Here is a 15,799-nt window from a genome sequence, read left to right as displayed (position 1 = left end):
TCACTGCCATTGTGGGTACCCATTACACACAGTGAAACACAACCTTAGGTGACAGATACACTTACCAACTCTTCAGACTTGAAATTGAGCCTCCAATTCTAAATACATATTTTTATAAGAGCCTTCCTAGCTACACTGGTAAACATGGTGGCAGTACATTATTTTTCAATGTTTGGGTTTTTCAGAAATTTCTTCTCTCAATACTAGCAAGTTTCAATATCTCCTACCTTTCTCTGCAAATTGTGGGCAATGGTCTTGTTCTCAATGACTGCATTGCTCTCAAGACGAACCAGCTGCTCTGTTCGAGCTAAAACCACGTCCAGCCGCATGTCAAAGCCAAGTTCGGCAGCCATCTGGTCCAACTTCATTTTCTGAGAAAGCTGATCCAGAAATTTAAGATACTAAACCCAAGAACAGAAACAAAAATGGGACATGAAAGTCAAAGTTAATGAGTGATCTCACAGAATCTCTTCCTCTTTCTCCCAAGCTTACAGGTAATTCTCCTTTGCAGAGAGCATGGAACGGAGCACGGACTCTGACCCATATGTGGTAATAAATTCCTGAACCACCCTGCCAGTTCCCTGCCTACCCCTTGTCTGAATGCTCTTGACTCTCCTAGCCCTTGATGTTCATGTTCAATCGAATATTATATACTTTTCTTAACTCTGCCAAACAACACATTTGGCTATGTTTGATGACATCTTCATCTCTCTGCTTCGACAACTTGTTGCTGCAACCATGCCCCTCTCAGGCTAATCTAGCCCCTGGGATCCACCCATTGATATGGTTTGGCTGTGTCACCACTCATATCTCATCCTGAATTGTAGCTCCCATAATTCCCACATGTTGTGGGAGGGACCTAGTGGAAGATAATTGAATCATGGGGGCAGTTTCCCGCATACTGTTCTCATGGTAGTGAGTAAGTCTCACGACGTCTGATGGTTTTATAAGGGGAAAACCCCTTTTGCTTGGCTCTCGTTCTCTCTCTTTGCCTGCCACCATGTAAGACATCCCTTACTCTTCCACCATGATTGTGAGGCCTCCCAAGCCACGTGGAACTGTGAGTCCATTAAACCTCTTTTTCTTTATAAATTACCCAGCCTCAGGTATGTCTTATTTATTTATTTGTTTATTTATTTATTTATTTTGAGACAGAGTCTTCCTCTGTCACCCAGGCTGGAGTACAGTGGCTTGATCTTGGCTCACTGCAGCCTCCGCCTCCCAGGTTCCGGCAATTCTCCTGCCTCAGCCTCCCAGGTAGCTGGGATTACAGGCACGTGCCACCATGCCTGGCTAATTTTTTTGTATTTTTAGCAGAGACGGGGTTTCACCATATTGGCCAGGCTGGTCTCAAACTCCTGACCTCAGGTGATCCACCCATCTTGGCCTCCCAAAGTGCTAGGATTACAGGCATGAGCCACCGTGCCCAGCCTATGTCTTTGTCAGCAGTGTGAAAATGGACTAACACACCCACCCATGCACCTTCCTTGGGAATTTTTCCCACCTAACTGGGCCCTGGCCTCAAAGGTTGTCACTGGCAACTTAGCCGGTTGTCACTGGCAACTTAGCCAGTTGCCACTTTACTCTTCTTGGGCTCTACAGAGCACTCCAAACTCAAAGCTCACCATACAAACAAAATTTCGAACAACATTTTGGGGTCTTTTTTATTAATTAAGATATTTTAGAAAATTTCTTTAAAATTTTTTAATGCAGGGCCAGGTGCGGTGGCTCATGCCTGTAATCCCAGCACTTTGGGAGGCCGAGGAGGGCAGATCACAAGGTCAGGAGATGGAGACCATGCTGGCTAACACAGTGAAACCCCGTCTCTACTAAAAATACAAAAAAATTAGCTGGGCGTGGTGGCGGGCACCTGTAGTCCCAGCTACTTGGGAGGCTGAGGCAGGAGAATGGTGTGAACCTGGGAGGCGGAGCTTATAGTAAGCCGAGATTGCACCACCGCACTCCAGCCTGGGCGACAGAGCAAGACTCCGCCTCAAAAAAAAAAAATTGTTTAATGCATCCAAGTTAAATGAACACCTCCCCCCTAAAACAGCGCTGTATAAAGGAAGTCAAGATTCATATTTTAGCAGTCTACAGTTAGAAAGCTATTTAAAGGTTTTCCTCTGCTTGATTTCCGTGGTTTATCTGGCAAGTCCACACATAGGACAATGCTTACTAAGTGCTTGCTGGATGAATAAATCAATCAATGAGCTTTCTATATCATCATTTTATGATTTGGGTTTTATCTTTGATATTTTCTTCTGATTGCAATAACTTATCCATCTGGCTTATTCAGGCAATTAAATGTTTAAATAGGTACAACTTCCTGCCAACTGAAGCACACCAGATTAAAGCCCAGAACTAGCTATGTTTTAATTATCAGGATGAAATTATTTATAAGTGTATATTTTCCAATTTTGGCAAATAGCATACATATGAATACAATTTTATCTCTTCTTTATAAGTCACAGTCATTGCAAATATCACTTATTGCATTGTGCTACAATACCATAAACTGCTTTTGTCTCTACATCCTCAGGTTATCACTGTTTAATGCTGTATCAGCTATCTGGAATTTTTAATTTTTAACCTGTGTCCATGAAAGTGACCTAACTGCTATTGCTTGTATTTTACATAAAATAGATAAGTACCTATTACATGACGGTATGAAACCCTCTTTCTTTCTATTTCTACATATGACCCATCCATTTACTAGGCCAGGACTACAACAGGCAAAAAGGGATTAAGACAAGAGCAAGCCGAGACCCCAAAGAGAAAGTTTCTATTTCAAGGATTTTGTCTCTATTTCAAAAGATTAAGGTTACTAGAAACTTTTAACTTCATAGAAATGAAGGATTACTGTATATATTGTTCATTTGAATCACAGTTCAGCATAAATAAGAAACTGCATTCTACTGTCTTTGAGTCTGCCAGATTACCTGCATTTAGCATTTAAACTCTGTGCAACTTTGCTTTTCAATTTACATGATACTATCCATCCTTACCAGAACGTGCATTTCATATGCAGTTAGCGACGGAAAATTCACGACGGACAGAGTTAGCTTACATAATTTGCTTTCATAACTGAGAGTTATTTGAACATAATCCCAATTAAAATTAATGATTCATTTATAGTAAGGGAAGGGAAGAAATACCAATCCACCTGAAATTCTTGCCTTTAATATATTTCTTCTATAATTCAAATAATATTTATTGACTCTTTCTCTAGGCCCTGGAGAAATACAGGAAAAAATGATTTTTTCTGGCCTTAAGAAGCTTGGTATATTTGGAGAAGAAAAAATTTAAAAACAATCCAATAATGGTAAAAAGTACCATGAGAGAGGCAGATGCATGTTGCTTGGAGAGCAAAAGGAAAGATAGGTAAGTCTCTTAGGGAAGACTGCCAGAGGAAGTGGTATTTGAGCTGAATCTCGAAGAGATTGCTGCTGCCAGGTGAAGGAGGTAAGGAGAACATTCTCTCGGTGAAAATAGCAGTGGGCAATGTAGGAGGCAGCTGGAGGACGCCAGACGAGTGCTGCTACAAATCTGCATGGATGTCTTTAGGCTCCGTAATCACCGCAGACCCCACCAGGGTCCTGCCACTCCCAGAAGGCTTCTGAGTTTGCCCCTGCTGGCAGGAGAAATTGCAGGGGAGAGGGAAGATGGAGAGGCCACCTGGCCAGCTCACAGAACGTGGGGCCATGGAAAAAGAAGGAATCTGTACCTGATCCTGGGGGCACCAGAGAACCACTGACCAGTTTTAAGATAAAGAAAGATAAGATTAGGCATACCTTTCATTAAGACCTCCCTGGCAGCAATGAAGAGAGTAAATCTGAGGCACAAAGAACAATGCTGGGAGCTCAGTTAGTAGGTTGTTTCCCTAGTCCGTGTTAATGAGCACAATTCTCAGAGCCAAAGCACAGCTGCTGGATATAGAGATGGGGGAGGCATTGGAGATCTAGTAAGGAGACAGGATTTACAGTGCTTAGGAATTGATTAAAAAGAGGGAAGTGTTGAAGATGGCTTGGGCAAATGGAGGCAGATTACCACCATGACTGAAGCAGGAGAGGGACAAATTTGAGCAGATGTCATTTCAGTTTTGAGTGTATTTTGGTGTTCACGGACCATGCAGGTGAAGCTGTCCAGCAGGCAGTTAGATGGCTTCCAATTTACATTACCATACTCAGGTGCAATATTTCATTTTGTTTGGTCGTGGTTGTTTTATTGTGTTTGTTTGTTTGTTTGTTTGTTTGTTTTGAGAGGGAGTCTCTGTCACCCAGGCTGGAGTACAATGGCGCAATCTTGGCTCACTGCAACCTCTGCCTCTCAAATTCAAGCGATTCTCCTGCCTCAGCTTCCTGGGTAGCTGGGATTACAGGCACACACCACCACACCTGGCTAATTTTTTGTATTTTTAGTAGAGATGGAGTTTCACCATGTTGGCCAGGCTGTTCTTGAACTTCTGACCTCAAGTGATCCACCCACCTCAGCCTCCTAAAGTGCTGAGATTATAGGCATGAGCCACCACATCTGGCCTGTTTTTGGTTTTTTGTTTGTTTGTTTGTTTGTTTTGAGACGGGGTCTCACTCTGTCACCTAGGCTGAAGTGGTATGATCTCAGCTCACTGCAACCTCCACCTCCCAGGCTCAAGCTATCCTCCCATCTCAGCCTCCCAGGTAGCTGGGATCACAAGTGTGTGCCACCATGCCCAGCTAAATTTTGTGTTTTTTGTAGAGATGGGGTTTCACCATGTTGCCCAGGCTGGTCTTGAACTCCAGAGCTCAAGCGATCCACCTGCCTCAACATCCCAAAGTGCTGGGATTATAGGTGTGAGCCACCAAACCCAGCCAATATTTCTTTACAAAATCAAATTTTCCACCATCACACCTTTACAGACATCTAACAGAAAAAGCTCCCTTCACTCTCCCAGACTTCTCAAATCTATCCCCTATTTCCATTCACAAAACCACTACTTGGTTCAGATCTTTATTATCTTCTGAACTGGGCTAGTCTGAACTGGACTATCTAACTGGACCAGTCAGGGAGCCACCAACTGGGCTCCCTACCTTCCCTCAGCTGTGTCCAACCCTTGGAAGGCGAGGACTTTTTGCTTATCTGTGGTGGCAGATACCTCAAAAATTATGCATGGTTGTTTTTTGTTTGTTTTGTGTGTGTGTGTGTTTTTGTTGTTGTTTGTTTGTTTTAGCTTATCAGCTATCACTACTGTTAGTGTATTTTACGTGTGGCCCAAGACAATTCTTCTTCTTCCAATGTGGCCCAGGGAAGCCAAAAGGTTGGACACCCCTGCTACCCTCTAAGCGAGTCTGACTTGAGGGAAATCTTTCTTTTACTCAAAAACCTTCTCTGGCTTCCCATTACCTACGCAGTGAAGCCTGAGTCATTAGACTGACCCATCTCGATCATTCCTATAGCTGCCTCCAGTGCCATCTCACACCTTTGGTTTCGCCAAGTATCATGTCCCAGGCTCCCTGCACCTCATTCATTTCCTGAGCCTTCTTTTCACACCTCCATTTCTTCTTTGTTCCTGCTATTCTTTCTGCCTCAAATTCCTTCCCACCTCTTCTGCCTGACAAATTCCTACTCATTCTTTAATGCTCCCCTCTTCTGTGAAGATGGCTCACTTACCACACAGAAAAAAAGTCATTGCTCCTTTTTCCAGGTTTCTGTTAAATTTTATACCTGTCTCCATCATGGCACTAATTGTACTATTTGCACTAATTGCACTATTGCACCATTGTACTATTGCACTAAGCGCACTAATTGCACTATTGTACTATTACGCCCCGATCTCCCTGTCTCATCTGCTAGACTTGATTTTCCACAGACACCTTTGGCACATCTTTGCATATCCAACCTCAATGCAGGCATGATGATTCCTCAATGTTTTAAGTACAGAAGAATGAAAAGGAATATGTTACTTGAGTGTACATGTTTCAACTTTAGGGCATTTTTCATGCCAAATTTGGCATCGAGGCTCTTGGGCCTGTGTGCCTCCCTTTCCCTTCCCACACTCCCTCCTGCAGACTCTTTCAGTCCATACTTTCCCCGCCATCCTGTCCAGCAAAACCTTTCTTTGATCTTGTTTTTCACAGCCACTGCCTCATGCCTCTCTTCTCTTTGGTCACCAGACTTCACACTGGTCTACTAGAAGGTCGCTCCCCTTCCTCTCAAGGATCCCCTCAGCACAAACAAACTGGCTTTTGCTCTCCACCGCTCCACCAAAACTGCCTCTCAAAGATCACTGACAGTCTCCCCACATTCGAATCCTCAGTGCGGGCTCCTTCTCTTCCCGTCTAACTCTCCTCTCCCACTGGGTTATCAGTGCCATTGTTTCCGAGACCCTCCATGCCACAATCTCAGCTCCACGGGGACATCACGCTATCTTTCTAAAATACTGCAATGTGGCCTGGCACGGTGGCTCACACCTGTAATCCCAGCACTTTGGGAGGCCGAGGCGGGCAGATCATGAGGTCAGGAGATCGAGACCACCCCAGCTAACACAGTGATACCCCGTCTCTACTAAAAATACAAAAAATTAGCCGGGCGTGGTGGCGGGCGCCTGTAATCTCAGCTACTTGGGAGGCTGAGGCAGGAGAATGGTGTGAACCCAGGAGGCAGAGGTTGCAGTGAGTCGAGATCACGCCACTGCACTCCAGCCTGGGCAACAGAGCGAGACTCTGTCTCAAAAAAATAGAAATAATAAACATAAACATAAAATAAAATAAAATACTGCAATGCTCACACTTACCACACTTCATATTCTACAGAGTAAAGAACACTCCATCTTCATAGTCTAAGCCATTCCAGTCTTTTCTCTTGCCACAGATCCACCGAGAATAACATGTTCCAGCCATGGAGGATTCACCATTTTGCGTCCTCTGAATATACTATGCACTTGCCAGATTTCATGCCTTTCTTCAAACTGTTTCCCCTACAGTATCTGTCTCCTGTCTCCACTATAATCTGACTTATCTTTCAAAAATGAACTTAATTATCTCCTCTCCTATAAAATCTTCCCTTTATCTGGAAGTTCCTACAGCACTTTATTAATTCAATACATATAACATGTGTAAACTTATAGTACAGCAAATTATCTGAGTATCTGTCTCCCCTATTGAATTATGAGCCTTTAAGATCAGGAACTGTGTATTATTCATATTTTAGCTTGCCAAACCTTTAGGACCTCATATATGGTAGGCATTCAATAAATACTCGTTGAGTTTAATTAAATTAATTTGAATCAAGGAAGCTCCAAACCCATTGTTCCTTGAAATTGACTTAACCAATTAAGTCCAGGACTTAACCAAACTAAATACTGTAAAATTCAGGATATTTTCAGGTAAAATTTTATACTACAACAGATGCTTCCACTCATGGACATGCCCTCGGGTCATTACTTTTTGTTTCTCAAAATTCAAGTTGTCTCGCAAAACACCTCCAGAAACCAGCTCTGCCTCCAGGTGTGTCAGCTGACCCTGAAGAGTCTCCAACATATTCTCTGCTTTCTGGGCCCTCTGGAGAGCTTTCTGGTGAAACCCAGACTCCTTTCCCAACTGTTCAACAAGCTCAGATATTTGGGCTTCAAGCTGGGAGACCATCTGGAAACAAAGAAACAGATCAAGAATAAGCCTTGTTTCAGATGCAAGGAAGTGTTCACATCTACTGCTCTGCCTAAGCAGCATAACTGTTTATGATACCAACTTCCAGATTATTTGTAAAAATCCCATTTAAAATATGTAATTGATAGCTGTATTTGCCTCTGTTTGAAATAATCTACTTTCATTATTGAATTAAATTTTTCGATTGGTATTTTTAATTTTTATATAATTCTTTTATCAGGTTAATCAATAAAAATTTATGGATAACATTTACTTACCCCAAAACTATTGCTAAGAGTTTCAAAGTTTAGTAGGAAAAAGAATTAAGACAAAAAGTACTGTAAAAATCTACAAAGAGTCATTCCCCAGAAAAATTCTTTCACCATTTTGAGTTGACTTAAGATTAGACAGTGAGATAATCTTGGTAGGTAACATTGAGGTATTACAGGGAATTCATGTACAGATATATGCTTTTTCAAACTTTTTTCAGCTTTCTGTTGAAGATTGGTTACCTATGCCCTAAACTCCAGGGATGCTGACTCTACACTACATAGTTATAGAGTAATACCATTTTTGCATTGGAGAGGTCAACATCTCTTTAATATGGTGACTCTAAATAAGGTCAGTGTCAATGTACAAGAGAGCAGGGGAATCTGAGTACTGTCCCATGTTAAAGTCCCTCCAGGCTCTCCACAACCCACCTGATTTGCCCAATGCTCCCATCCTTCCCAGGAGTTCCTCTTTTTGTCCTGATCATTCCCTTAAACCAAGAGTGCAAGTTTACCAAGGACCTCAGGGACACTCTCAGAAAACTCAAACTGATTTTACTAAATCCAGTTTCATAAAATGTTGAATTCAATAAAACCACCAAGCCTAGGGTGATAAATTTGTTTTCTTTCGATGGTTTATTTTGGAAGAGAAGAGGGAAAACATAGTATTTACATAACAGTACAGTACCATTCTCACAGAAATGGAAACATCCTGACTGTTTCAGATTTTTACTGTCTAAATTTTTAAAAAGAAAACAATTTCTGTTTGCCCATCTATAAACAGCCGTGCTTAAACACGTAATCTGCCTTTAAACTTTTTGAAAGGCTATTATATGGGAGAACAAAAGGATTTGTTCTGAGTTACCCTCGGAGCCTATATTGAGAACCAACAGGTATAAATCAGAGAAGAAATTCCATATTTATGAAAGGAAAATGTTTTCCCCAGTTCCTATAATTATAAAGTAAGATATCCCCATGAAATTTCTTTTAACCACAAAAAGTATAAACAGGCAAAAAACAATCCCCTGTGATCCCACCACCCAGAGGCAAAAGCCATTAATATTTTTAAATAATTTGTTTTTGTGTATTGTTAAAATATAGTTGAAATATTATACATGCAATTTCATGTCTTTGTTTTTACCTAATTATTCTCATGCCGTTTGAAATTCTTAATTAACATTTTAATGGCTGCATTAAGAATTCATCATGAGAATGTGTCATCATTCACTTAAGCATTCCTTTCTAAGAAAGGAAAAACTCTTCCCTGTGAGGTCTGAGAAAAAAAATTAAAAATAATAAATAATCAAAATAAAGAAGAAAGGGAAAACTTTACAATGATTACAGCTGTGTAAAGACACTGTCCAGTAGGGAGTGGATTCCCAGTCACCGAAGATGGCCGGAAATTGGCTAACTACAGGCACATCTCACTTTATTGCACTTACTTTATTGCTCTTCGCAGATATTTTAGTTTTTTACAAATTGAAGGTTTGTGGTAACCCTGCATTGAGCAAGTCTATCAGCGTCATTTTTCTGACAGCACACGCTCACTTTGTGTCCCTGTGTCACATTTCGGCAATACTAGCAATATTTCAAACATTTTCATTACTATGATATCTGTTATGGTGATCTGTGATCGGAGATCTTTGATGTTACTATTGCAGTGTTTGGGGTGCCACAAACCACTCCCATAATAAGTCAGTGAACTTAAATGATACATGTGTACGTTCTGACTTTTCCACTAACTGGCTGACCCCACTTCCTCTCCTTGGGCCTCCCTATTTCCTGAGACACAACAATATTCACATTAAGCCAGTTAATAACCTTACAATGGCCTCTAAGTTTTCAAATGAAAGGAAGAGTCAGGCTGGGCATAGTGGCTCACGCCTGTAATCCCAGCACTTTGGGAGGCCAAACTGGGTGGATCACCTGAAGTCAGGAGTTCAAGACCAGCCTGGCCAACATGGCGAAACCCCATCTCTACTGAAAATACAAAAATTAGCTGGACGTGATGGCTCATGCCTGTAGTCCCAGCTACTTGGAAGGCTGAGGCAGGAGAATCACCTGAACCTGGGAGGCAGAGGTTGTAGTGAGCCAACATCACGCCACTGCACTCCAGCCTAGGTGACAGAATGAGACTTCCATCTCAAATAAAAAAAAGCGAAGAGTCGCACTTCTCTCATTTTAACTCAAAAGATGGAAATGACTAAGCTTAGTAAGAAAGGCATGTTGAAATCTGAGATCGGCCAAAAATTGGGCCTCTTACTCCAATTAGCCAAGCTGGGAATAGAAAGGAAGCGTTCTTGAAGGAAATTAAAAGTGCTACTCCAGGCCAGGCACGGTGGCTCACGCCTGTAATCCCAGCACTTTGGGAGGCCAAGGTGGGTGGATCACCTGAGGTCAGGAGTTCAAGACTAGGCTGACCAGTATGGTGAAACCCCATCTCTACTAAAAATACAAAAATTAGCCAGGCGTGGTGGCAGGCGCCTGTAGTCCCAGCTACTCAGGAGGCTGAGACAGGAGAATCACTTTAACCCGGGAGGCAGAGGTTGCAGTGAGCTGAGATTGCGCCATTGCACTCCAGCCTGGGTGACAGAGCAAGACTCCGTCTCAAAAAAAAAAAAAAAAAAAAAAAAGTGCTACTCCAGTAAACACACTGATACAGTGTGGATATTTGTCCTCTCTAAATCGCATGTTAAAATTTGATCCTCACAGTTGGAGGTGGGCCTAGTGGGAGATGTTTGGTTCATGGAAGCAGATCCTTCATGAATGACTTGGTGTCATTCTTGCAGAATTGAGTGACTGCTCACTCTTAGTTCCCATGAGCTCTGGTTGTTGAAAAGAGCCTGGCACCTCCTCCTCTCTCTCCCTTTCTTTCTCTCTGGCCATGTGATGCCTGCTCCCCTTCATCTTCTGCCATGAGTGAAAGTTTCTTGAGGTTCATTGCCAGAAGTAGATGGCACTGTGCTTCTTGTATAGCCTGCAGAACCATGAGCCAAATAAACCTCTTTTCTTTATCAATTACTCAGCCTCAGGTATTCTTTTATGGCAACACAAAAGGACTAAGACACACACAAATGATAAGAAAAAAAACAGCCTTATTGCTGATATGGAGAAAGTTTGAGTGGTCTGAATAGACATCAAACCAGCCATAACATTCCCTTAAGCCAAAGCCTAATCCAAAGCAAGGCCCTAACTCTCCTTAAATCTATGAAGCCTAAGAGAGGTGAAGAAGCTGCAGAAGAAAAGTTTGAAACTAGTAGAGATTGATTCATGAGATTTAAGGAAAGAAGCCATCTCCATAACATAAAAGTACAAGATAAAGCAGTAAGTGCTGATGTAGAAGCTGGGGTAAGTTATCCACAAGATCTAGCTAAGATCATTGATGAAGGTGGCGACACCAAACAACAGACTTTCAATGTAGGCAAATCAGCCTTCTATGGGAAGAGGTTGCCATTTAGGACTTTCATAGCTAAAGAGGAGAAGTCAATGCCTGCCTTCAAAGCTTCAGAGAACAGGCTGACTCTCTTGTTAGAGGTTAATGCAGCTGGTGACTTGAAGTTGAGGCCAGTGCTCATTTACCATTCTGAAGACCCTAGGCCCCTTAAGAAATATGCTAAATCTATTCTGACTGTGCTCTAGAAATGGAACAGCAAAGCTGGATGACAGCACATCTGTTCACATCAAGTTTTACTGAATATTTCAAGCCTACAGTTGAGACCTATGGCTCAGTAAAAGATTCCTTTCAAAATATTACTGCTCATTGACAACATACCTGGTCACCCACGAACTCTGATGGAGATGTACAAAGAGATGAATGTTGTCTTCACAGCTATTAACACAGCATTCATTCTGCAGCCCATGGATCAAGGAATAATTCTGACTTTAAAGTCTTATTATGTAAGAAATATACTTCATAAGGCTACAGCTGCCATAGAGAGTGATTCCTCTGATGGATCTGGGCAAAGTAAATTGAAAACCTTCTGGAAAGGATTCACTACTCTTGATACCATTAAGGACATTCATAAATCATAAGAGGAGGTCAAAATAACATCATAGGTGTCATCTATGAGATGATTCTGAGGGGTTCAGGACTTCAGTGGAGGAAGTAACTGCAGATGTGGTGGAAATAGCAAGAGAACTAGAATTAGAAATGGAGCCTAAAGATGTGACTGAATTGCTGTAACCTCATGATCAAACTTGAATGGATGAAGAGTTGCTTCTCATGGATGAGCAAAGAAAATTATTGAGATGAAATTTACTCCTAGTGAAGATGCTTGAACATTGTTGAAATGACAATAAACATTTAGAATATAACATAAATTTAGCTGACAAAAAAGCAGCAAGGTTTGAGAGGATTGACCTCAATTTAGAAAGAAGTTCTGCTGTTGGTAAAGCGCTATCAAATAGCTCACATGCTACAGAGAAATCTTTTGAGAAAAAAAAGAGTCAATTGTTGTTTTCAACTACGTTGTTGTCTTATTTTAAGAAATTGCCACAGCCACCCAACCTTCAGGAACCATCACTCCGATCAGCAGTAACCATCAACATTACAGCAAAACCCTCCACCAGCAAAAAGATTATGACTTGCTGAAGGCTAAGATGATTGTTAGCACTTCTTAGCAATAAAGTATTTTTAATTAAAGTATCTATATTGTTTTTTAGATATAGGGTTATTGCACACTTAATAGACTACATAGTCTAGTATAAACATAACTTTTATATGCACTGAGAAACCAAAAAAAATTGTGTGACTCACTTTATTGTGACACTTGCTTTGTCGCAGTGGTCTCTGAGGTATGCTTATACCAATTAAGAATGTTGCAATGCAGATTGAAGTGCTACATGAGGAAGGTTAGACCACCTGAGCTCTAAACTCTTCAATCCTGTGCTTCCATGGCTCTCAAGCTTCCAGACATTCAATTAATTTAACACTTCTGTGTGTGTGCTTGAAATTAGATATTTGATGGTAAGCTATTCAGAGCCACATCCAAGGAATTACATTTACCAAGGAAATTTTTAGTGTCATCCCAGAACATGAAGCTCTGAGAAACCTCATTTCTTATTTCCTACCTTTCCTGCTTACCAATAATAAAAAATCTACTGATACATTCATAGCTATATTAGTAAGTATAACTTACTAATATAGCAGATAAATCTGATCTTAACGCAAGAGAAACAGTGTTTATCTTGGTATAACAAATAATGTAATCTACAGAAAAATGTCCACAAGATGCTGCCTCCCAAGGGACTGATTTGCATTATTAGGAGTATAGCACATCAGGAGATGTGGTTTCACGTTGGACTGCAAACAGGAAGTGAGTATTTCTACCTGAAGACCCTTCAACGTCTCCTATACCACAAATGACATAGCGGAGAGAATGAAACCAAAGAGAAAATTGATTCAATAAACCTCAAGCGGAGAGAGGGAGAACTGTGTGATCAGTTAGCCATAGTCAGCACACCACCGAATTTACTGGAAAAAAGCAAGCCTTCTGTAGACATCAATCAGTATGGTCTCCATTCTGAAGCTGATGCCCAGAGTAACTGCAGTAAGTTAGACTAAGGGAGTGATACTGACCCTAAAGGAAGATGTAAGCATCTGACGTAGACCAGAGTGCAGGACGGAGGCTTTGGAGTCAGATAGCCCTGGTTTCAATTTCCCCTGTACCACTTACTAGCAGGTTAACTGAAGCAAGTAACTAATCTCTCTGAAATTCGTAGACTTTGCTATGAAGACTCAATGAGCTGATTTAGATAATTTACAGTATTTCACACCATATTGAAGTTCAACACATCGTGTCCATTTCCGTCATCAGGGTTACTGCTCCAGTGTACTGGTTCTGTCAATCCTATGCTGTCGCCATGAGGAGCTAAAGAACCCTCCAGGAATTGTCCTATGTCATGTTTCTCAAACTATTTTCAGCATAGTCTTTCTCTCAACTAGAAGTCTTTCTAGGAAGAACAAATAAGGGACAAATGTGTTTGAATCAAAGGCAAGAAGGTCTCTCTTGCATCTTCACCCCATCTGGACCTGAGGGTGCTCTACAGAGCCTTGAGACTCAGCGAAGTGAGACTTTAAAACCACTAATACGTAGATCGCTGAAATTTGCAGGGGATACCTGCCATGCCAAGATTCTTGTGTCCAGAGAGAAGAAAACAGCTGAGAGCCCTCCTGCACTCTATCAGATCACAGAACGTAGCTTCAGAAGCTTATTTAGGTGTCAGTGCACATGACACCACTAAGTTTTTTTCTAACTAAATTTAGATAAATTAATTCAAATAAATTAACTTTCCATTCTGACTTATTCTTGGGAACATCAAATGCCAGTGCCTGAGTGAACATATGTGCTCCACCAAAACCGTAAACTTGTGCTGTTTTTCACACCAAAAAGTCTAAACAATAAATAAGCCTTTCTTTCTTTTCTTTTCTTTTTCTTAGGATCATTTCTTAACATATACCTGATATTCTATGGGACAAAATGCACCAGATATTTCAACACTAGAGGTGGGCAGTGGAGGGTGAGGGGTGAAGAATACATACCTTTAAACAAAAAAGATATTTTTTTGTTTGTGCTTTTTTTTTGAAACAAAAAGCACAATATAGTTAAAGAATAAGCTGCATGGTTTTTAGAAGTAAAGTCATAATGCCCTAAAAGATTTAATTCACTCCCCAGGGACAACTATGCATTGATTTCACCAGAGAGACAATTTTGTCCTAAAATTAAACCAAATAGAAGCCAAAAAGTTCTACACTGAAGAAAGAGCCATTTGGGTCACTTAAAGTCCAGTTCCTTTTAGACATAAACTCTTTTCCAATTACTCAAGCTATAATTTGCACTTGGGGAATATGTAAGTTATCAGGTACTAGAAAGTGTCGACCAAATCCTCCTTCCCTTCTGTCGGCTTGTGTGACCAGCACTGTTGACTGGCTAACTCTATCCCACCTCCTCTGTTCATCTCAACTTTTGTTTTGAGTTAAATTAGGTCCCCCTCAAAAAAGATATGTTGAAGCCCCCCAGTACCTCAGAATGTGCCTTTCTTTGGAGATCGGGTCTTTAGAGTGGTGATGAAGTGAAAACGAGGTCCCTAAGGTGGACCCTAATCCCAGATGACTGAGGTCCTTATAAGAGGGGAAATTTGGACACGAAGACCGACATGCATAGAGGAAGGCAATGTGAACACACAGGAAGAACACTATCCCTACAACAAAGAATGCAATGCCTGAGGCCAGCAGAAGCTAGGAGTGAGGCATGGGACAGACTCTCCCTCACAGCCCTCAGAAGGAACCAACCCTACTGACACCTTGATGCCAGACTTCTCATCTCCAGAACTGTGAGGCAAGAACTTTCTGTTATTTAAGCCGCCCAGTTGCGGTACTTTGTCGTAGCAGCCCCAGGAAACTCATATAACTGGAGAGGCTGGAAAAGCTGAAACTTCCATCTGTTCGCTCTCTCAGATGCCTCTGTAGCCCGGAGCAACCGCACAACATAATTTTGGATAATGAAACGTCCCAAATGGAAGTGTGCTGGTGCTTCTGGGAAGATGCTCACTTTAGTAGGTGGCAGGGTTAAGAACAGAGCAGGAGAATGATAATCGGGCTCTGAGATCAGAATGGGGAGGAGGGGGCTGTGAAGCACATCTCCAGTCCTTCACAGCAGAGATCACCAGCCTTTTTGTCACCAGAGACTGGTTTCGTGGATGACAATTTTTGTGTCAGAATGAAACTGTTTCACCTCAGATCATCAGGGATTAGATTCTCATAAGATGCACGCAACCTAGATCCCTCGCATGCACAGTTCGCAATAGCGTTCACGTTCCTATGAGAATCTAATGCCGCTGCTGATCTGACAGGAGGTGAACTCAGGAAGCAATGCTCGCTCGCCCACCGCTCACCTCCTCCTGTGCAGCCCA

General features: G+C 41.6%; 1 protein-coding gene across 4 annotated transcripts in view; it reads right to left on the bottom strand.

Annotated features, from left to right (window-relative positions):
• CCDC170 (coiled-coil domain containing 170) overlaps positions 1 to 15,799 on the bottom strand; it is a 127,177-nt gene that overhangs the window by 27,686 nt on the left and 83,692 nt on the right. For 2 of the 4 annotated variants that reach the window (NM_025059.4, XM_011536147.3), the window contains exons 7-8: positions 7,419 to 7,619; positions 228 to 401 (exon numbers count right to left, since the gene is read on the bottom strand). In NM_025059.4, coding sequence (NP_079335.2) covers positions 228 to 401; positions 7,419 to 7,619 — 375 coding nt within the window. The remainder of the gene's footprint in view (positions 1 to 227; positions 402 to 7,418; positions 7,620 to 15,799) is intronic. The other 2 variants (XM_047419372.1, XM_011536148.3) reach the window with 1 other exon arrangement.

This window comes from Homo sapiens, chromosome 6, assembly GCF_000001405.40.
Source record: "Homo sapiens chromosome 6, GRCh38.p14 Primary Assembly".
NCBI classification, from domain to species: domain Eukaryota; kingdom Metazoa; phylum Chordata; class Mammalia; order Primates; family Hominidae; genus Homo; species Homo sapiens.
Note: the sequence above shows the minus strand (reverse complement) of the source record. Positions and strands in the feature narration are given on the sequence as shown.